The sequence below is a fragment of the Homo sapiens genome, chromosome 10, assembly GCF_000001405.40.
Source record: "Homo sapiens chromosome 10, GRCh38.p14 Primary Assembly".
Taxonomy (NCBI): Eukaryota; Metazoa; Chordata; class Mammalia; order Primates; family Hominidae; genus Homo; species Homo sapiens.
The window spans coordinates 93,704,725-93,727,938 of record NC_000010.11 but is presented as its reverse complement, the minus strand read 5'-3'; the positions used below and the strand labels follow the sequence as shown (position 1 = coordinate 93,727,938).

Genomic DNA, 23,214 nt, shown 5'->3' with positions numbered 1-23,214 from the left:
GGTCTCATTCTAGATAACTGAACTTTATGGTTTTTGCACTGATGTAAAGCAACACAAACAGCAGACAACAGAGCCCTTTGGTGGACTCACCAGACTTTCTGGTTTCTTCTATGAGGTAATATTAACTAATTAACAATGAATAAGTTAATCACTTTGGACTATCTGCTCCTGGTACTTCTATCAGGGTACTTCATGGGAAAAGTACCCTATAGGAGTAGGATAGGTTCCCCTGATCAATAAGATGAACTTCAGTTATTATGGTTTGAGCACCATATTAGTCTGTTTTCACGCTACTGATAAAGACATACCCGAGACTGGGTAATTTATAAAGAAAAAGAGGTTTAATGGACTCATAGTTCCACATGTCTAGGGAGCCCTCACAATCATGGTGGAAGGCAAAAGGCACGTCTTACATGGCAGCAGGCAAGACACAGAATGAGAGCCAAGTGAAAGGGGTTTCCCCTTACAAAACCGTCAGATCTTGTGGCACTTATTCACTACCATGAGAACAGTATGGGGGAAATCGCCCCCATGATTTAATTGTCTCCCACAGGGTCCCTTCCACAACACCTGGAAATTTTGGGAGCTACAATTCAAGATGAGATTTTGGTGGGGACACATCCAAACCACATCAAGCACTAAAACAAATGAGACATTATTTTGCACCAAAGGTAGATGAAGCAGGACATGCCAATCAAATTGATGAAATAAAGCACCTTTAATTTTGTGTCTCATTTACTTCCTCAAATTTCTGATGTACTGAAATGATTCAGTAAGTGCATACTAAGGGCTTGTCATCTGCTGGGCACTCTTGAAAGTGCTGGAGTGTGGCAGGGAACCAGGTAGAATGGTCCCTAACCTCAAGGAGCTTCTGGTCTGTACCTAGAAGCTCTTGCTCTGTTTTCAGAGTCTCTCTTTTGCTGGTATCTGGCTATGATAGAGGGAATTCAAAAGCAGCTTTAAAATGTTTTCTGCAGAAGAACAAAGCAGTAGTTACCAGTATGAGAAGAGGGGAATTGCTACTTTGACACCTACAAATTGAAGGATGGATGCCTTTGTTTCACATCTGTTTTCTCCATGTGAGAAGCAGCCAGCTCCACTGATTGTGTACTGTTGAGGGTGACCACTCCATTTTTCTCTCCTGGAAACATGTAATTTAATGTGAAGCATCTATTGATGAACTGCAAGTATGAAGAATTCTCAGGATAATGTACTTGATTTTCCCCTTGAAATGCAATTCACATTTATTAAGTATCTTTTCTATACAAGGCATGGAGCAAGGTGCTTCATGCACATAATCTCATTTAAGCCTCACAGTTGCCTCTGAGGTAGGTGCATCATTAGCCAGCTTTTATAGACAGGATAAAAGGGAAAAGAGGAAATGGTAGCCCAGGATTCCAAAAAGTGCAAATTCATTTCCAGTGGATGAATACACTTATGATTTTGTTTCTCTTAGATGGGTTATGATAAACATCTTTAATATTAATACCTGCCTTACATTTGCATAATTCTTTCAACTTTTCAAAGCACCTCTTTTATACCTTATTTGATGCTCATGCTAAGCCCTATGCTCCTAACAGTCTCGAACTCCTTGATGGTGTCTCTTTGAGAGCCTAAATCTCTGCAGAGCTGGCTTTTGTTGCATAGCTAAGGTTCAGGACTAAGCTAATAAAAATCTTGCTTCCAGACATCTAATCTGCATCTTCATTTGCAAGGTCTCCTTGGGATGGTGTGACCTGCTGTTTAGTAAGGACATCAGTGCTCTCATACCAGTGATTACTATGGTTACATCTGCCCCAACATTCTCTAAAGCCCTAGATTTTAGAAATATTGGTGTCTTTACTACCTTGTCCTTGTCTGGATCTTCCTGTCATGCCTGAGTTAATGATAGCCAAAGGGAAAGGAATGAAATAAAAAGAAGGAAAAAGACAGCTCTGCGAGCTTGTACACTGAGGTGCATATATTCTCAAAAAAACCAGAAACCAGCCTAAATGAAGAGGGAGGGGATGGTGGCAGATGAAGCATAAAGCAGGTGCTTACTTAATTGCTGCAGCTGGTGCCAAGTGTTTGGCATAATTTTTCTCCTTATTTTCAATTATTGGCACTGTTATTTTACTTTTTAGCTGAAGCATCTGAGAACAGTCTAGGAAGCTTCTCTGCTCCTCTCACTTTTACAGGAAAGCAAGCAGGCATTTTTTTTCCTGAAAATATTGTAAATAAACACAATCCTTGAAATTTTTTCTTGTGCCCCAAAACAACTCATCGACTATAGAAAAGGAAGAGAAATTGGCTGAAATGCAATTTGACGTTTTCATTCTGCCAAAATTACTATGGGTTGAATTTTTAATTTGATTCAGAAGACGATTCAACTCTTCAGCCTCATCTATGTGATTTTGATTTCAGAATAGCATGTCTGAGACCAGAGCTTCCTAAGCTGTTTTCTTTTAAAACACAGATTGTTAAATTCTCCAATTGACATGGCATATTCATTTTGCTATTTGACTTTTTTCTTTTAAGTAGTGAAGGTAAAAGTTGCAAAAATATTGGATGAAAGTCATTTCATGCCCTGTTATTCCACCAATTTTTAAGAAGAGTAAGCGCTGTGCCAAAACCTTATATAGAACAATGTGCAAAAAACAATACAAGGACCCATGAGGAATGCAAAGATAAACAAGATGTAGTCTTTTTCTTTCAGCAGATTTAGTCCTGAAAGGAGAATAAAATGAGTACAAGCAGTAACATAACAGTTTTGAGGGAAGTAACAATGATATGCTAAAAAAAAAACAGCACACGTCTATCAATTACTTTTGATGGCAGATCTAACATAAAGAAAATAAAAATGTTTCATCTTTCTCCCTTTTAAAGTAATTCTGCTTAGAGAATGCTATTTAATCACTGTATTTAAGGTGACATTTGAATTCTGAAGGTTTTATCTCCTATTGACTCTATTCTAGAGAGAGAGAGAGAGAGAGAATACGCATGTGCACAGTTTTGAGCAGAAAAAAATATTTTTATTTTAGAATTTTGTTTCAGATTGCATTTCAGGAAAAGGAAAGGAGAAAAATCGTGCTCCCAGAGGGCATTGGGAAATGTGGGTTACAGTCTTGTTTTCACCTTCAGCCATTTGTGTTTCTGGGTTCCTGAGTGCTTAGGCTGGGTTACTCCAAGTTTCCTTTCAGTCTTCATAGTCTGAGTGTGATGCCTCGCATCTTGTCCTGAATGAATCCAGTGGCTTTCCCATAGGGAGCAAAGGAAACTGAAGGCTTGAGGGAGTATCCAAGGTGCCAGGAGGTGTAGGGAAGAAAGAATGGTACTACTGGATGAGACACTCTTGGGCCTCTCGGTTTTCTTAACTTCCTATTTAAATACTTCATCATTTGTAGAAAGCCTTAAGTTCAGAGCCATTCACAATTTATACTGGGTCTGATTCCTTTTCATTCCCACTGTAGCATTGGCTTTTAAGAATGTAGAAGCATGGCCTAGCCAAAATATATATATATATGATTTACAGGCTAGTTAGAGTTTGTGCTGAGCTGTGTCTGCAAATAAGCCTTTAAGGTAAATGAAAGAAGTTCTAAAGAACCTGAAAAGGAAATGGGAGAGAGTGTGATGTGACAGTGAGGAATGTCATTTTTCTCTGTGGTTCTTTCCTGTCTAATTTCACAGCCAGCAACCTGGTCCAGGCTCTAATTAACCACATGTCCATAGGCTGCTGCTGATGCTCTAACAATATCCAGTCTTCAGACTGTTCCTGTCCAGTTTACACATCATTGTCCTTCCTCAAACACTCCCTTCACCATGGTGCTTCCCTAGGCAGTGATTTATTATGAGTCCTTGTTACCTGGTACAACTCATCTCTTTTGTTTATTTACTTATTTATTTATTATGATTACATATATTTAAAGTATACAACATGGTGTTTTGATATACATAGAGCTAGTGAAATGATTACTGCAGTCAGGCAAATTTACACATCCACCACCTTGCATGGTTACCTTTTTGTGTGTATTTGTGGCAGAAGCTTCTAAAATCTATATTAACAAATTTTTAGCATACAAAACAATATTATTAAACTCTAGTCCTCATGCAGTCCTTTAGATCTCTAGACTTATTCCTCCTACCTAACAGCAAGTTTATACCCTTTGACCTACATGTCTCCATTTTCTCCCAATCTCTGCCCCTAGTAACGACCGTTCTACTCTCTATTTCTATGTATTGGACTTTTTAAATATCCTACATACAAGTGAGATCATGCCATATTTTTCTTTCTGTGTCTGGCTTATTTCACTGAGCGTAGTGTCTGTAGGTTTATAAGTGTCACAAATGGGGATATCTCCTTTTTTTTTTAAGGTTGAATAATACTTCATTGTATACACAAGAATTGTACCACACTTTCTTTATCCGTTCATCCACTGATGGACAGTTAGGTTGTTTCCATATCTTGGCTATTTTGTGAATAATGCTGCAGTGAACATGGGAGTGCAGATTTAGCACTATGAGGTGCTAATTTCATTTCCTTTGGGTATATACCCAAAAGAGGAATTGGTGGATCATATGGTAGTTCTATTTTTAAGTTTTTGAGGAATCTCCATACTGCTTTCCATAATGGTTATACAAATTTACATTCCCATCAGCAGTGTGTGAAGGTTCCCTTTTCTCTACACTTTTTCTAACACTTGCTATCTCTTGTCTTTTTGATAATAACCATTTTAATATGTGTGAGGTGGTAACTTACTGTGGTTTTGACTTGCTCATCTCAAATCTTTAGCCCAGGGTTCGAGGTCCTTCATCCAGGAAGCATGGTATTAAAAATAGGAGACTGAGCTTTAGTTTTGGCCTTTGCAGCTTTAAAGCTGTATGATTTTGGGCAAGTTGTTGAACTTGAACTTCCCTTGCCTTCATTTTCCTCTTCTGTAAAATGACTTGGAATTGAGTTCTCCAACTCTAAGTGATCTCCTGGAACTGCTGGTCAAACATGGCCATCTTGGTATCACATTTCCCAGGAGTGCCCAGACTCAAATAAGCTGGCCTGTGGTCCTATTAGCACCTACCAGAAACTTGGCAGACCTTGGGTCCCAAGTTTTGATTTTAAAAATGTGGTCCCCATAGGTTTCCAAGGCTACTTCCTGTTCTTCTCCAAGGCTCCAGACAAGTCAATGGCCTCAGGGGCTCTGAACAAACCTAGCTGCTTCCATCCTATTTGTTCTGGCTGAGTCATTGCCCAGCAACCTGGAGTCCCTTACATTTACCCCATGGCTATCAACTCCCATGATGGTAACTTCAAAAGCCATATTGTTGGCCCCAGTGACCTTTGCCAATCTATTGATTTATTTTAAAGCTCCAATTGTTCCCCCAAGAGTATTTATTTTATTTTTATTTTATTTTTTATTTTTTGAGACAGGGTCTCACTCTGTCACCCAGGCTGGAGTTCATGGCTCACTGCAGTTTCAACCTCCTGGGCTCAGGTGATCCTCCCACCGCAGCATCCTGAGTTGCTGGGACTACAGGCGCCCACCACCATGCCTGGCTAATTTTTGTATTTTTTCTAGAGATGAGGTTTTGCCATGTTGCCCAGGCTGGTCTCAAACTCCTGGGCTCGGCTGAGCACGATGGCTCACTCCTGTAATCCCAGCTCTTTGAGAGGCCGAGGCAGGTGGATCACCTGAGGTCAGGAGTTCGAGGCCAGCCTGTCCAACACGGTGGAAACCCGTCCGTACTAAAAATACAAAAAAAAAAAAAATAGCTGGGTGTGGTGGTGGGCGCCTGTAATCCCAGTTACTTGGGAGGCTGAGGCAGCACAATCACTTGAACCTGGGAGGCAGAGGTTGCAGTGAGCCAAGACTGCGCCATTGCTCTCCAGCCTGGGCAACAAGAAAGAAACTCCGTCTCAAAAAAAAAACAAAAACTAAAACAAAAAAAAGAAACACAACACCTGGACTCGAATGATCTACCTCCTTCGGCCTCCCAAAGTGCTAAGATTACAGGTATAAGCCACTGTGCCTGGTTCTAAGAGTACTTTTTTTTACAACATGATTTTCATCATATACATGCATTCTATTATAGGCTATTTTTTTCATTCAACATTATATCATAGATACTTTCTCTCATTGTCCCATGTCTGGGCACTCCTGGGAAATGTGATACCAAGATGGCCATGTTTGGCCAGCAGTTCCAGGAGATCACTTAGAGTTGAATTCTTGGTATTGTATTAACTTTTCACCTAATGTTGGACATTAAAGTGTTCAGTCTTTCATTATTATAAATATCCCACTATATATAGCCTTTAGAATTATTTTTCTAGTTGAGACTCAGATGTTATCGTTAGATATAACTTTCTTATTTTTTATGTCATGCTGTAGTTTGGCGATCCTCCTTGTGTCCCTAGCTAATTCTTAGGCACTCCTTTACAGCCGGTGTCCCCAGCCTCAGGCTCCCCTGCTACCCTAACATTCAGCAGATGGCCTTGCCTAGGGCACTACATAATTTTGTCTCAAAGATCCTGCCTCTACAACTATTTCCTGATTTAGTAGTTCTCAAAGTTTAGGTGCATCAGAAACACCTGAAGGGCTTGTTAAAACAAGCCCTTTTTGCTGGACTCTCCTCCAGAGTTTCTGATGCATTGTGTCTGGGGTGCAGGCCAGAAATATTCATTTCTAACCGATTCCATGGTGATGCCCACGCAAGGACCAAACTTGGTGAACAACTGCTCTAATTCTTTCATCTGATCTCAGGGGAAACGGTTTAGATTCTCTGACTCCACCCCATGACCTGTCCTCTGAACCTCTTTCCCATCTTCACTGGGACCAAGCTATCACTCCTAACCTGTTTCCTTTCAGTGGCTTCAATACCTGCACCTTGAAACCCTCCCTTACTCCATCCTTCAAGGACTCTCTTATCACTGCTGTCTCAATTAACCTTTCACTTTCCAACATTACCCAACTCTAACCACTAACCCAAAAATCTTTCCTCCTGCTGTGGGTTTTTCTGAACTTGAACTTGTGACCTTCGCCTGCTGCTTCAGCGTCTTACCCACGTATTTCCTTTTTAATTTCCAGAAATTTCCCAAGGATGCTCTATTGAAATTATCTGGAAAGTTAAAAATGACCCCCTTCTTCCCAAAATCAACGGCCTTTCCTTATTATGTAATAATAGCAGTCAATATTAATTGACTTCCAATTGTGTTCCAGGAATTGTGCTAAACATTATATAGATAGAAACAGAAGTATCTCATGTGAAGATTATTCTTATGTCAATCTTATGAGGTAGATATTATTTTAGAGATGGAAAAAACTAGGTTCAGAGATGTGAAATAATTTGCCCAACAGACCAAGTGAAGGAGCCAGGATTGGACTCAGCTCTGCTTCCACATCCCTTGTGTTTAAACACTTCCAGAATAAGCACAGACTCCCTAAGCACCTATTAAACTGCCAATTCCAAGCTCCAGTGCCAGAGACGCTGACCCAGGTGTGCCCAGAACCTAGGAATCTGAATTATTAATAGTCCCCCTAATGATTCTGATATGTGTGATCCCAGAACCACACACGTTTTGAGGAATGGTCCCACTGTATTGACATAATTGGCCACTTCCTCTCCTTAAAGACTTCCCTCCGTTGCTATGATATAGCTTTTATTTTATTTATTTTTTGTCCCTTGGGCTCTCTGATTCTGTTGTTCTCCATCTCATTCGCTCTCTCTCTCCTGCCCATATCACTGCCCCCCAGAGTCTGTGCTCTGCCTGCTCCTCCCTCTGCTGTCTGTCCCCTGAAGCCCATCCTCTTGCTGTGCTCCAACTCAGGCAGATGGTCCCCAACCTTGTCCTTCTAGTGCCAACCTCCTGGCAAACGCCATGGAGCAGCATGAAATAATTTTGGAACGGTGAAGAGCTACAGCCCAGGCCCTGGACAAAACTGTGAGACAGGTGACATTGATCCTGGTGCCCCATCACCCCACTGTGCCCTTGGTCTTTCCTCTTGCTCATAAGATCTCTGTGCCTTGCAGTTTTCTAATCAAATCAGTTCAGCAAAAGAGCTGATCATTTTACGCTCTCATTCTAATGTGTTAACTCTCCCAGTCATTTGCATTTTTAAAGCCTTTTATCTCTCTTTGTGGGTTCAACTGTTGTTCCTGTATTGAAGAGTTTTCAGGCTTCATTTAGCAGATAGTGGGAATTTAGAGGGAAATCAGGACTGAAGAGGAAGGAGGAAGGTGAGCAGGTTTGGAAGGGGACCCTTTCTTCCCCTTGAAATGTTTTGAAGTTTAGAGCCAAGAGCAGAGAATAACAGTGCTGGGAGGGCAGAACTTGGCCTCTCTTGCCTCCTGCACATCCCAACGCCCTGAGCAGGAGCAAGCCATAACTGGGTTGCTGCAGACCTGTCCCTAGAGGCGCAGAAGGTGAGGACAGACTGGAGAGCTGGTGGCTCTGCTGGCTTCCTGCCACCCTACGCTCGGCGTGGCTGACCTCTTCCTCTTTCAAGTATCAGCTTAAATGTTCTCTCTTCCAAGCAGCCAGTCCTGATCACCATGCTTATGGGGGCCCTTCTTGGTGATTCTCTGCGTTTGGTAGTTTTCCTTCATTTCATTGATCATTGTTTATAATTATTTTATTTACTAGTTCTTCCTGTCTCCATTTGTAGAGTAAGGCTAAAGAGGGCAGAGACCATGTCTGCGTGTTCCCTCTGTGCTCATAGCACAATGCTAGTTCATAGCATATACTGAGAATTTGTAGTAGGAATGGCTGGAGAGTTACACCTCCACCACCAGGCGCTTAAGAAATAGTTCTTGAGCTTAACTCAACTCCCCTAGTAGCTATCCTGGTGCTGAAAGACTTGAGGCAATCAGAGAGCATTGTGTTCACCCCACTGTTGGGATGAAGTGGGGAGTGCAGGGAGGTGGCATCAAGAAAAGTTAGGGAAGACTTTGAAGTAGGCAAAAAGATTACTGGGTGTCCTGTCTGGAACTCTGTTGAGTTTACATTTTTATGTCTTTGAGCTATTTTACAACTTTGCACATTTTAGAAAACTGACAGTAATACAAATAATTCTTGCCCATGGAGATGCAAATGAATTTTTTTCTAGTGGAGGTGCAATTGATAATTGCCCTGTGGATATTGACCAGCTTTGCATCTATTCGTACATCCATTTTCACTTTCCTGATTGCCTATATACGTGTGTGCTTGAATTTTCCTTTGAACTGGTTGTAACTTCATACTGGTTCCCTCATTAATTAGTAAAATAAAATTTCTGACCCAGGTTAATTTTATATTTATACACAAGTCACAGTTTTTAAAAAATTGTTTTTGGCTGGGTGTGGTGGCTCACACCTGTAATTCCAGCATCCTGAGAGGCCGCTTGAGCCTGGAAGTTCAAGGCCAGCCTGGACAAACTAGGGAGACCCCATCTTTACAAAAAATAAAAAATTACCTATGTGCAGTGGCTCACGCCTGTAATCCCAGCTACTCAGGAGGTTGAGGTGGGAGGATCGCTTGAGCCCAGGAGCTAGAGGCTGCAGTCATCCGTGATCATGCCACCGCACTCCAGGCTGGGTAACAGAGTGAAACCTAGTCTCAAAAAAAAATAAATTATTTTTTTAATTGGACTGTATCAAAATCAAGAAGTTTTGTGCATCAAAGGATATTATCAAGAAAGTAAAAAAAACAACTTACAGAATGGGAGAAAATATTTGCAAATTATATCTAGAATATATATATCTACAATATGTAAATGTTATGATTTAAATGTGTGTGGCCCTCCAAAATTCATACATTGAATCCTAATCACCAAGGTAATGGTATCAGAAGATGGGTCTCTAACTGAGTACCCTCATTTTTCTAAGAGATAGTTTAATTATTGTTTTCTCTCTCTTCTTGTCTCTTTCTCCTTTTCCCCACTTCCTTCACTCTGTCACCCAGGCTGGAGTGCAGTGACACAGTCTTGGTTCACTGCAACCTCTGCTTCCCGGGTTCAAGTGATTCTCCTGTTAACCCCTTTCCTCTTTCTTCTTTTTCTCTTTTGGAATGGGAGTGTCTATCCTATGCCTGTCCCACCATAATATTTTGAAAACAAGTAACTTGTTTGCTGGAGGGGGATTTGCCTCAGGATGAATTGTACCTTGAGTCTTACCCATATCTGATTTAGATGATTTTTAGGTGAGACTTCTGACTTTTGAGGTGATGCTAGAATGAGTTAAGACTTTTGGGGCTATTGGGATGAAATGAATGTATTTTGTATGTGAAAAGGACATGCATTTTGGTGGGCTAGTGGTGGAATGCTATAGTTTGAATGTATGTGTGTCTCTCCAAAATTCCTATGTTGAAACTTAGTGAACAAAGTTACAACATTAAAAGGTGGGGCCTCTGGCAGATGACTAGCGCATGAGATCCCTGCCCTCATGAATGGGATAACGCTCTATAAAGGAGGCTTCAGAGAGCTTCCTTCTGCTTCTGCTCTTCTGTCACTTGAGGATGCAGCAAGGTGTCACTTTGGAAGCAAAGAGCAAGTCCTTATCAGACACTGACTCTGCTGGCCCCTTGATTTTGAACTTCACAACCTTCAGAATTGTGAGAAATAAATTTCTATTACTTATAAATTACCTAGTCTGTGGTACCTTGTTATAGAAGGAACAGACTAAGACAATAAAGAACTAAAACTCAACAACAAAGCAAAGAACCCAATTCAAATATGGGCAAAGGACTTGAATACTCATTTCTCTGAAGAGGATATACAAATGGCCAATGAGCACATGAAAAGACTCTCATTAGTTGTTGGGGAAATGCAAATCAAAACTACAGTGAGATACCACTTCACAACTACTAATATAGCTACAATAATAATTTTTAAAAGGAAAATAATAGGTGTTAGTAAGGATGTAGAAAATGTGAGAATGTAAAATGGTGCTGCTGCTGTGGAAAGGAGTCTGGTGGTTTCTCAAAAGGTTAAATCTAAAACTCCCACATGACTCAGCAATGCTACTCCTAGGTATCTATGCAAAAGAAAGCAGAGACTTGAACAGATAAGTTGTACACCAATGTTTATATAAGCATTATTCACAATAGCCAAAAGGTAGAAACAACACAAGTGATGTAGTTTGGATCTGTTTCCCCACCCAAATCTCACGTTGGAAATGTAACCCCCACTGCTGGAGGTGGGGCCTGGTGGGAGGTAATTGGCTCATGGGCAGTTTCTAATGGTTTAGTACCATCCCCCAGTGCTGTTGTCATGATATCTGATTGTTTAAAAGTGTGCAGTGCCCCCCTACTTCCTCCTGCTCCCACCATGTGAGACACCTTGCTCCTGCTTTGCCTTTCACCATGATTGTAAGTTTCCTGAGGCCTCCCTAGAAGCCAAGCAGATGGTCAGCATCATGCTTCCTGTACAGCCTGTGAAACTGTCAGCCAATTAAACTTTTTTTCTTTATAAATTACTCAGTCTCAGGTATTTCTTTATAGCAATGTGAGAACAGACTAATACACCAATGTTAGTCAACAGATGAATTGGATAAACAAAATGTAGTATATACAGGCCAGGCACCGTGGCTCATGCTGGTAATCCCAGCACTTTGGGAGGCTGAGGTGAGAGGATCGCTTGAGGCCAGGAGTTCAAGACCAGCCCGGGCAACACAGGGAGACCGTGTCTCCACCAAAAAAAAAACTTTTTTTAATTAGCCAGGTGCAGTGGTATGTGCCTGTAGTCCCAGCTACTGAGAAGACTGAGGTGGGAGGATCGCTTGAGCCCAGGAGCTCAAGGCTGCAGTGAGCCACGATCATGCCACTGCACTCCAGCCTGGGCAAAAGAGTGAGATTTTGTCTCAGAAAAAAAAATGTAGTATATACATGTAGTGGAATATATTCTGCCATTATAAGGAATAAAGCGTTGATATACAGTGCAACATGTATGGACTTTGAAAACATATGCTTAGTGAGATAAGCTACGCACAGAAGGACAAATACTGTATGATTCCACTTATGTGAAGTACCTAAAATAGGCAAATTCATTGAGACAGGAAGTAGAATATAGGTTACCAGGACTGGTGGAAGGTAGAATGAGGAGTTATAATTTAATGGGTCCAGAGATTTTTGGGGTGGATGATGAAAAACTTTGGATATAGATAGTGGTGATAGTAACACAACATTGTGAAAATAATTAATGCCACCGAATTGTCCATTTACAAGTTATTTAAATGATAAATTTTATGTTACATATGTATATATATATTTAACCACAATTTTAAAAACCATCTTTTAATGTAGAGAGAAACCATGGCCAGAATATGCTCTCGATGGCAACATGATTGAGGATCTGAAAGTCTTGTGGCGTAGTTCACATTCAGCTCACTTACAAGCTGTGTGACGTGAATAAGGTAGAATTGACTAAGTTGGGGCATCAGTGACTGAAAGGGAGGAGACAAAGGGAATTTCTAGGTTTCTGGCTTGAGCACCAGGGTGGATTGTGATGACGAGAGACTGGCAGAGGAAGTGTTACCAACCAAAATTGGGTCCACTCGGCCAGGGCAGCAAAGCCAAACACTGACAATGAGATTTGCAGCAAGAAAAAAAAGACATTTATTGCAGCACACCAAGCAAGGAGAAGTGGACAGCTAATGGTTAAGACCTGAGCTCCCAGATGACTTACAAGCAAGGCTTTTTACAGGCAAGGGTACATTTCAGGAAAGTAGAAGTTATGGGCAAAATCATACATACCTGGAGGTTAGACATTCATTTGGACCCAAAAGTGTGATATCTTCAAGCAAGAGCTTACAGGTCATAGGTGGATTCAGAGATTCCTTGATTTGCAACTGGTAAAAAAAAAAAAGCAAGGCTTTACCTAAAACCTTGGGGCCAGCAGAAAGGAATGTTAAGTTTTGGCCTGTAGGTGTGATGCTCTTCAGGCCCCTGAGGATGAAAATTAGAACAAAGAATGGCAGTCAGAGTATAGTCCTCAGTTTCCCCTTATCCAAGATCTACAGGAGGGGAGTCAGCATTTTCTATCTGATGGGGCTCCAGGTTTCTGAAAAACAATTCAAGGTGCTATCTTTAGTTTCTATAGGGAATGAAACATTTTGTGAGTCTGGCTTACTTGGATGGCTTTTTTTTTTTTTTTGAGACAGAGTCTTGCTCTGTTGCCAGGCTAGAGTGCAGTGGCAGGATCTTGCCTCACTGCAGCCTCCATCTCCCGGGTTCAAGTGATTCTCCTGCCTTAGCCTCCCAAGTAGCTGGGACTATAGGCCCCCACTACCACGCCCAGCTAATTTTTGTATTTTTAGTAGAGACGGGGTTTCACCATGTTGGCCAGGAGAGTCTCGATGTCTTGACCTCGTGATCTGCCCGCCTCGGCCTCCCAAATGCTGGGATTACAGGCGTGAGCCACCGCGCCTGGCCTGGATGACTATTGTTTAAGTTATTATTACCTTCTTGCTTTGTGGGTGATTCATTTACTTCTCTAATTGCTGGTTGAAAGGTGCCTGGAATCTGCCTTGAAGGGATTCAAAATTTTTCCTTTATCTCTACGCTGGGGTTTGGGGCCTAGTCTTGCAGCCTAGTTCACATTTCAGCTCAGTTACTAGTTGTGTGACCATGGAAAAGGTAGAGGTGACTGAGTTGGGGCATCAGTTCCAACTGATGGCAGGCGCCTAAGAGGGGCCTCTGCTCTGTCTCAGAAGTGGGGTTAGTTTGGAGCAGAAGGTAAGAGTTCAGTTTTTGTCATATTAAGTTGGAGACAGCCATGAGGAGATGTTAAGTGAGGAGGTGACTATGGGAGTCTGGAGCTCAGTAAAGACGTCTGGGCTGGAGGTATTAATATAAACTGGGACACATTGGCATGCAGATGGTCCTTTGAGCCATGGAAATGGCTGATAGCATAAGATAGAAAAGAACAACCAATCCCAGCCCCACAGAACAGCAGGGGCCTGAGAAGGCAGTCTCTGAAGAAGAGAACTGAGTGTGGGGACATGGAGGCCGAGAGGGACTACTGGCCTTACTCTTGCCCTCTAGCCACTCCCTGTCCAGTAACCTGGGGTCAATTCAGCTGCTACTTAATTTTTGCCATGTGAGAGGGCAGCACCCTATACATAATGGTTCTGGTCATACACAGAATGTTTTCAACAGCAGCAGCACGACAGCATGCTTCTTCTTCTTCTTCTTCATTATTATTATTATTATTATTATTTGAGACGGAGTCTCCCTCTGTCACCCAGGCTGGAGTGCAATGGTGTGATCTCAACTCACTGTAACCTCCACCTCCCAGGTTCAAGTGGTTCTCCTGCCTCAGCCTCCTGAGTAGCTGGGATTACAGGCGCATGCCACCATGCCTGGCTAAGTTTTGTATTTTTAGTAGAGACGGGATTTCACTATGTTGGTCAGGCTGGTCTCAAACTCCTGACCTTGTGATCCGCCCACCTTGGCCTCCCAAAGCGCTGGGATTACAGGTGCGAGCCACCACGTCTGGCCGACAGCATGCTTATTGTCAGAAATTTTGCTAAGTAGGATAGGATGCATAAGAACACTGCCAAGTAAAAAGCAAATCTGCACTTAGTGAGGACAACCTTTTATTTAAAAAGATTACTACAGGAGAGAAAGGGACTATTGCAGTAGGGGAAGTGTACTATTGCAATGGGGAAAATACTGAGACCTTAAGAAAGGGACTGTCTCTTGAACAGAGAAAAGTAACCAAGGCTAAAAACAACAGGGTGTGGGAAAAGGGAATGAAAGGGTGGCCTGATGGGATAGTAGGCCATACAATGTCTTACTCTGAGGCCAGCCTGTTCTCAGGATGGGCTGTGTGCTGGCTCAGGCTGGGAGTGGGGGTGGGCCAAAGTGCAGGGGCTTAGGGGAAGGAGAGAAATTGAATCAAAGTTTGGTTAACAAGCATTTTGTTCAATTGCTCAGTGGGGACAAGCAGTTCAGCTCATCATTTATCAGGTAAGGAATGAGAATTTGTTCGGTCTGTATCTAATTTTGCCATAGGTTAAACACAGGGCATCTGTGCATCTTATCTAAGTCATATGAGAAAGAGTCGTTCTGATGCAGAGCAGATGAGTCCCAAAATTGGGGCTTAGCAGGGGAGGGTTCTTGGCTGCACCCAGGAAAGAATTCAAGGGTAAGCTGGTGGTTTTAGACAGCAACTTTTATTGACACAGCAGGTTCCAGCATTGGCAGCAGCAGCAGAGGTACCAATGGCAGTGTGCCCAGAGTAGCAGCTCAAAGGCGAGTCTGCAGTCATATTTATACCCACTTTTAATTACATGCAAATTAAGGGGCAGATTATGCAGACATTTTTAGGAAAAGGGTGGTAGTTTCCAGGTCATCAAGTTGTAACTGAAAGGGGCTGTAACTTCAGGGTGTTGCCATGGCAATGGTAAACTGACATGGCACACAGGTGGGCGTGCCTTACGGAGAGGTGCTTCTGCTCTGTCCCTCTTTTAGCTAGTCCTCAATATGGTCCAGTGTCCAAGCACCACCTCCAGAGTTGAGTCCCACCTCCTACCTCAGTTTTTTGCAGTAAGCTGTTTTCTAGAACGTGCAAAAAAAGGTTGGTGTGGGGGGATGGGAGGGGTTTACTTTACCCATCACTGTCTTCCAGGAGCAAAGGGCTTCAGTGAAATTCAATATTGTCAACGTGCTCTGGGATGTGAATTCCATCCCTCCAGTCTGGGTGACACCTTCATCTTCTCAACCAGCACTGATATTCCTGCCCAGGAACTTAAGAACTGCCCCTTGCTGTGGTCTGGGTCTCAAGGCTCTTTTCCTGGGAGCTTAAGACTTTTGACTTTTCCCTTGAAGGTGTCCACATGCCTCCATGCCTGGCTTACCTGCAGCCTGTCTAACCCCCAAGAGATGCATCTGAGACAGCGTCATAACCTCTGCTTCCAAACCACCATCGCTAAAGGCACAGTCCTGAGGGAAATGAATCATCGCCTTGGAAATTTGCAACCTATGGGCTGAATTCAGCTCACAGAAGTGTTTTTTCCACAGGGTGTTTTGCTTTGATTTTTAAACTTGAATTAGATGCCTATATAAAAAATCAGGATATTGAATCTAAAAATCCAAATTTCTAAATCTAAAAATCCAAATTTCTAACTTCTCCTGAAAAGTAGATTGCTCCAGCAGTTCTGGCCTGTGTTTCTATTGTATGCTCCTACACTGTTCAACAAAAGTTCTGACAATAAAATTTGTTATTTAAAAAGTTCTATTTATGAATACAAGTATTTGAGTGCTGTTACTTTTATACAGCCTAAGTGAGGAGGAGTACAAATTCCATCTTCTAATCACCACTGTTCCGTGAATCTATTCAGTCTTTTATATTTTCTGTGGGTGTTTAAGTATTTCTATTTCCTACCACCAATTGTCACTTTCAGTACTAGGACAACTAGCCAAAGAGATTTTAGTTTCGGATAATTTGTTAATCAAGGCATCATTTAGAAAAATTACTTACTGTTTATTTCGAATTGCCTGACTACATAATAATCATGACATGTATCCTTAAACACATGACCTACTTCACTGTACATTTTACTTGATCATCCCAGCACACTGTCTGCATGGTCAACTTGGTGTTCATAAACTGTGAAATCATGTGATATGGTCAACTCCTACTTGGAGCTTGCTTATACCTTATATAGAGAGAGGGGCTGTGGGGCATCACTGGTGAGTGTGGGAGGCCTGAAAGGAAGTCCTATATCTCCCTCTCCTTTGGACGCAAAGGCAGCACAATTTGGAGCCCAGAGTTAAACTGTGGTTTCAGCATTGTGAACACAAGTGTAAAGTCCTGTCTCTGAAGCCTTTTCCTGCTCTCTCTTAGGATTAGGGGCTCCTCCCTAGTGTCCCCATAGCTTTCTGAGCCTGTTCCTATTACTGCCCACCCCATTGTATTGTAATTACTTGTTTCTGTGTCTGTGTCCTACCTAGAGGTGAGTCTTGAAGATGGGAATGATGTCTTTCCCATGATTATAGCCCCAGGCCCAGCGAGGCCTTGAGGAATGATCTAGAGACACAGCACTCTTCAACCTTGATTATTACAGTAGGTCTCCCCACTTTGCATTTTCCTAAGTGAAGCATGAAACCGTCATACCTGCAGATATTATATGACAGAAAATAACAGCATCAGTTTCCCGGTGATGTTTAGCATTCCTGGTTTCTGCCTCTCATCTCATCTGACCCGGTAAGTGTCTCCCTATCTCTTAATCACAAGGCTCCTTATCCACAACTGTCTCAGAGAGGGGTTTACCAGACATCCTGTCTCTGTTCTCATCTCCTGGGAGCAGGCCAAAAATGACAATCAATTCATTTGGCTAATTGGTATACTGCTGTCTCTCCACTTTTGCTTCCCAATGTCCATTCCAGGCACAGAATTTGTGCAGTGCAACCTCTCTGGCAGCCTGCTCCAGCCATTTCCACAAGCAAGGGCTTGACCTTTGGCCAGCTTGCAGATCACTATTGGGCTGTGTCTCTATTCAAGGACCGAGCTTTACCATGCAGGTGTGGAGCTACCTTCTTCCAGATCTGAGCTTATAAATATACAGAAAGTGCAGGCTGACCTTGCCAAGTGTTCAAGGCCCGGGAACTTTCAGTCCTTTGGATGCTGACTAGAGTCTTTCTCAGCATTTACAGAGCTCCCGCAGGCCTCTGTCTCAATGCCTACAGGAAATTTGTCTTTGAGTATGTAAGCACTTCTGTGGCATAATTTCCAAGGCCCCAGAAAATTCCACCTATCCACTTCCTAATCTGTTCTTTCACGCCTGAAGTTGCTTAAATCACCAAAACTTCCATTTACCAAAGTTTTAAAAACCCCTAGGAGCAATTAAGTTTTTTAATGTAAACTTTTTATTGACTATAACACTCATACATAAAAGTGCACAAATTATGGTTGTGAATGAACCACTCATGTAACCAATACCAGGACCAGAAACAGAACTTTGCCATGTCCTCAGAAGCCACCCCTTCTTCCTTGTATCCCTTTGTAGTCCCTTCCCCTCCCTCATCAGGGAAACCACTATCCTAACTTGGAACAAGATAGATTACTTTTGTTTGTTTGTTTGAATTGGCATATACAATTATAAGTATTTACCTTGTACAACATCTTGTTTTGAAGTACATATACAATGTGGAATGACTAAATCTAGCTAACTAATATATACATTACCTCACATAGTTGTCATTTTGTTTATTTGGTTTTGTCTTTTATATAAATGGGATTTGTTGTATGTACTCTTTTTCATATGTAATGCTTCTTTTGCTCAGCTCAATACTCATGAGATTCATCCATGCTGTTGCACGTAGTTGTAGTTTGTTGATTTTTATTGCTGCATAGTATTCCACTGTGCAAATAAACCACCTTTTACTTAACTATTCTAATGCTGATGGACATTTGGGTTGTTTCTGGATTTTTATATGCAAATAGAGCTCTTATGAACATTCTTGTTCAGGTCTTTCAGTGAATACATATACACTTCTCTGTTGGAAATACATTGAGGAGTGGAATTGATGAAACCTAGGATAGGCACGATCAGCATTAGTAGGTACAAGGTACTATCAAACATCTTTTCCAAGGTAGCTGTACCAATTTACACTCCCATCACCAGCATATAAGAGTCACAGTCATGCCACATCTTCTCCAACACCAGATTTGTATTTTCCATTTAGCCATTCTGATGGGTGTGTAGTGGTAGTGGTGTGCTTACTTGATATTTATCTGATAACTAGTAAAGATGCGTGCTTTGTTTTATGTGCATTGGCCATTTGGCTATCTTTCGTCTGTGTATTTTCTGGTCAAGTCTTTTGAGAATTTTTCTATTAGGTTTATGTCTTTTATGTAATAGTTTTTTTTTTTTCTTTGAGACCGAGTCTCACTCTGTCACCCAGGCTGGAGTGCAGTGGTGCAATCTTGGCTCACTGCAACCTCCACCTACCATGTTCAAGTGTTTCTCGGGCCTCAGTCTCCCAGGTAGCTGGGATTACAGGTGTGTGCCACAATGCCTGGCTGATTTTTGTATTTTTTAGTAGAGACAGCGTTTCACCATGTTGGCCAGGGTGGTCTCATGGAACTCCTGACCTCAAATGATCCACCCACCTTGGCCTCCCAAAGTGCTGGAATTACAGGCATGAGCAAACGCGCCTCTTGGGCTGTCTTTTACATAATGATTTTTGAAGATTTGTATATATTCTGATAATTTGTTGGATATACATATTGTAGATATTTTCTCCCACCCTATGTCTTAACTTTTCATTTTCTCAATAAAGTATTTTAAGTGAACAGAAGTTCTTTATTGTGTTTTCATTATGGTTAGCTCCCTGTGTGTCCTATTTAAGAAAATTTTTCTTGCCCTAAGGAAGTTATCATATCATGAAGATATTTTCCTACATTTTCTTTGAAATTGACTTTTGTATACAGTGTGAGGTAGAAATCAATATTTTTTACTGTATTATTCAATTGACTTGGGTCTATTTATTGAAAAGACTATACTTAACCCTATACCATTAATCATAGGACTATATTATATATATAGGTCTGTTTCTGGACTGTATTTGAGAAGCAGTTAATTGTTAAACTTTTCTAATTATTTTCTCAAGTAGGATTTATTACATACTTACTATGAACTAGGCATCACATTATGCTAAGCATTTCAACTGTATCATTTCATTTCAAATTTCATCAACCCTCTGTGAGATAGGAACTATTATTATCCCCGTTTATAGATGTGAAAATCAAACAAGTTGCCCAAGTTCTCCTAGCTAGTACATAGCAGAATGCAGGTCTAGTTGACTTTAAAGTATGGTTCTTTACTGTTTCGCAGAGCAGCCTTTGAGGGGGAAAGGAACGATAACATTTTGGGGGTTGATGGGGGAGAAGTGACGGACAAGAGTGAGGACCTATAAAAAGATGAACAGGTGAAGAATGAAGAGGTAGAGTATGCTAAAAACGATGTCTGCAAGCATCACACTTTTGCTTGGAAGAGGTATTTTAATTGTTTGTGTGTTTTGTTGTAGTGCCAAATCCCCATTTGAAGCCAACTTATCATTTCCCCAAGACAATGTCATTTTTTAGTCACCCCCTCCATTTCCATCAGGGGCACCTATGTTATTTCAGTGTCTTCAGCTTTGGAGGTACCTTTCACTTCTGTATCCTTTGTGCCCTATGCCCAATGACTCATATCTTTTACCACTTATTTCTTCAACTCACTCTTAAATGAAATTTTCCATTTCCATTCCCACCACTTCCTGTACTCTATCTATATTGCCTCCTCTTTAAAACAATAGTGAACATTTAAGTGAACATTTAGTGAACATTTAAGTCTTACCATGTGCCAGGCAGTAGCCTAAACACTTTAAATGCAACGTTTAATTGATTCTCACAAGAATACTGTGAAGTAGTTACTGTCATTATTCCCATTTTACAGAAGACGATGAAAATTTGAAGAACATTAAGTGATGCTCAACGCCACATAGCTGGTAAATGGCAGAGCCAGGATTTATATATAAATTTGATTTCAGATATCTACCAGTCCAAACCACCACTGTATTATGTACAATACTTCCCTAGCTCTAAACTAATCTCTGCACCCTAGCATTTAAGAATGCCCCAAATCTAGCTCTAATCTCTCTTTCTGATCTTTCTTTCACTAATCCTTTTCAAAAATTCTTCTCCAGCTCAAGTGAGCTACTCAAATTCCTCTAAATAACCTGTGGATATTTCCACCTCTAATCCTTTACCGAAACTCCCTTGCCTTGACTGCCCCCTCCTCTCCTCTCCTCTCCTCTCCTCTCCTCTCCTCTCAAGAGCTACCTTTAAGTCATAGCTTAAGTCCCACTTCCTCTACAAAGCCTTTCCTGCCTCTTACTAATCCCTCTGTCTCAATGTATGTGGTACCTTTCCTCCATAAAAAAAGTTTCTAATTCTTTTAAGTATCACAAACCACCATGGGCCTTATTGAAAGGCAATATGTATGGTGGTCAATAGCGTGAGCTTTGGGCTAGGTGCTGTGGCTCACACCTGTAATCCCAGCACTTTGGAAGGCCGAGGTGGGAGTATAGCTTGAGCTCAGTAGTGTGAGACCAGCCTGAGAAACATAGTGAGACCCTGTATCTACAAAAATCTTTTTTCAAATAGCCAGGTGTGGTGGCAGCAGCCTATGGACCAGCTACTAAGCAGGCTGAGGTGGGAAGATTGCTTGAGCCTGGGAGTTGAGGCTGCAGTGAGCCATGACTGTGCCACTGCACTCTAGCCTGGGCAACAGAGAGATAACACTCTCTCTCTACTTATCTCTCTCTATATATACATATATGTGTGTGTGTATATATATATGTATATATTTAGTATTAGTACTCACATTGCTATAAAGAACTACCTGGGACTGGGTAATTTGTAAAGAAAAGAGGTTTAATTCACTCGCAGTTCTACAGGCTGCACAAGAAGCACGGCTGGGGAGGCTTCAGGAAATTTACAATCGTAGTGGAAGGTGAAGAGGAAGCAGACATGTCTTACATGGCAGGAGTAGGAGAAAGAGAGCAAAGAGGGAGGTGTTACACACTTTTAAACAACCAGATTTCTTGAAAATTCTATCACAAGACAGCACTAGGGAGATGGTGGTAAACCATTAGAAACCACCCCCATGATCCAATCACCTCCCATTAGGCCCCACCTCTAACATTGGGGATTACAATTCAACATAAGATTTGGCTGGGGACACAGAGCCAAACCATATCACACACACACACACATATATATGGTGTGAGCTTTGAAGTCACTTATATTTGTGCCCCATTTGCTTACTCATGACTCTGGAAGTGTTATATAATTTTTTTAAAAAAATCTGTTTTCTTATTGTAAAATAGGGATAATAATAGTACCCACTTCATTTGTTCAATAAATATTCTGAGCAACTATCATGTGTCTGGCACTGTGCTGAGCACTGGGGATTCCACACTGAAAAAGAGAGGTATGCTTCCTGCCATTGTGGAGCTTGCATCTCAGTGAGGGAAACAGGGCTAAATTATTACTACGTATGTAGCTAAGTGCAATGGAAAGTAATGTGCATATTATCAGTAATCCTATCTAGTCTGTGGGAGAGATGCTCATGAAAGGCCTTTCCTTCACCTAAGTTGAGTTTTGAAGGATAAAGAGGAGTTAGGGAGGCAAACAGAAAGGGTTTAAGACCATTCCGGGTAGAGGAAATGGTAAATTTGAAGAGGCATGCATGTTGAAGAAACAAAGAAAGCCCAGCGTGGCTCCATAACATCAAATGTTATGGAGGTTAAGTGAGACAGCAGATGGTTCTGGATATTTATCGGTATATAACAAACAACCTCAAAGTCTTAGTGGCTTGAAACAATTATACTTATTCTGATTATTAGTCTGCAATCTGGGTGAGGCTCAGTGAAGTTACTTCATCTCTGCTCCACTCCATGTCAGCTAAAGAAGTAGAGTGACAAACCCAGGCAGAAGCTCTAACACCTTTTGCAACTTAGCATCAGAAGTGTCTTAGCATTACTTCTGCTATAGTCACTGACATGCCCAGATTCAAAGCTGTGGCCATAGGTATTAGCTTATGTTAGAGAAGTGTCAGCATCATATTATAAAAAGAACATGGAAAATGCAATCTTCTCAAAGACACACAGTATTAGAAGAATGCATATTCAGCCAGGCGCAGTGGCTCACCCCTGTAATCCCAGCACTTTAGGAGGCCAAGGCGGGATCACTTGAGGTCAGGAGTTCGAGACCAGCCTGGCCAACATGGTGAAACCCTGCCTCTACTAAAAATACAAAAATTAGCCAGGCATGGTGGCTCACACCTGTAGTCCCAGCTACTGGGAAGGCTGAAGCAGGAGAATGGCTTGAACCCGGGAGGTGGAGGTTGAGCTGAGATGGCACCACTATACTTCAGCCTGGGTGATGAAGTGAGACCCTGTCTCAAAAAAAAAAAAAAGAAAAGAAAAGAAAGAATGCACATTTGTTGGGCGCGGTGGCTTACGCCTGTAAGTCCAGCACTTTGGGAGACCAAGGTGGGTGGATCACCTGAGGTCAGGAGTTCGAGACCAGCCTGACCAACATGGTGAAACCCCATCTCTAGTAAAAAAATACAAAAATTAGCCGGGCGTAGTGTGCGCCTCTAGTCCCAGCTACTCGGGAGGCTGAGACAGGAGAATTGCTCGAACCCAGGAGGCAGGGGTTGGAGTGAGCTGAGATCACGCCACTACACTCCAGCCTGGGTGACAGAGTGAGACTCGGT

The 23,214-nt window shown here is 41.7% G+C and overlaps 1 annotated feature.

The window, feature by feature from the left end:
• Positions 13,302 to 13,454: a silencer, noted in NCBI's record as "fragment chr10:95474242-95474394 (GRCh37/hg19 assembly coordinates)". NCBI's record gives its function as "represses an EF-1alpha promoter that drives an FKBP-Casp9 reporter gene in an ReSE screen in K562 erythroleukemia cells {active_cell/tissue: K562}" and the evidence as "EXISTENCE:reporter gene assay evidence [ECO:0000049][PMID:32094911]".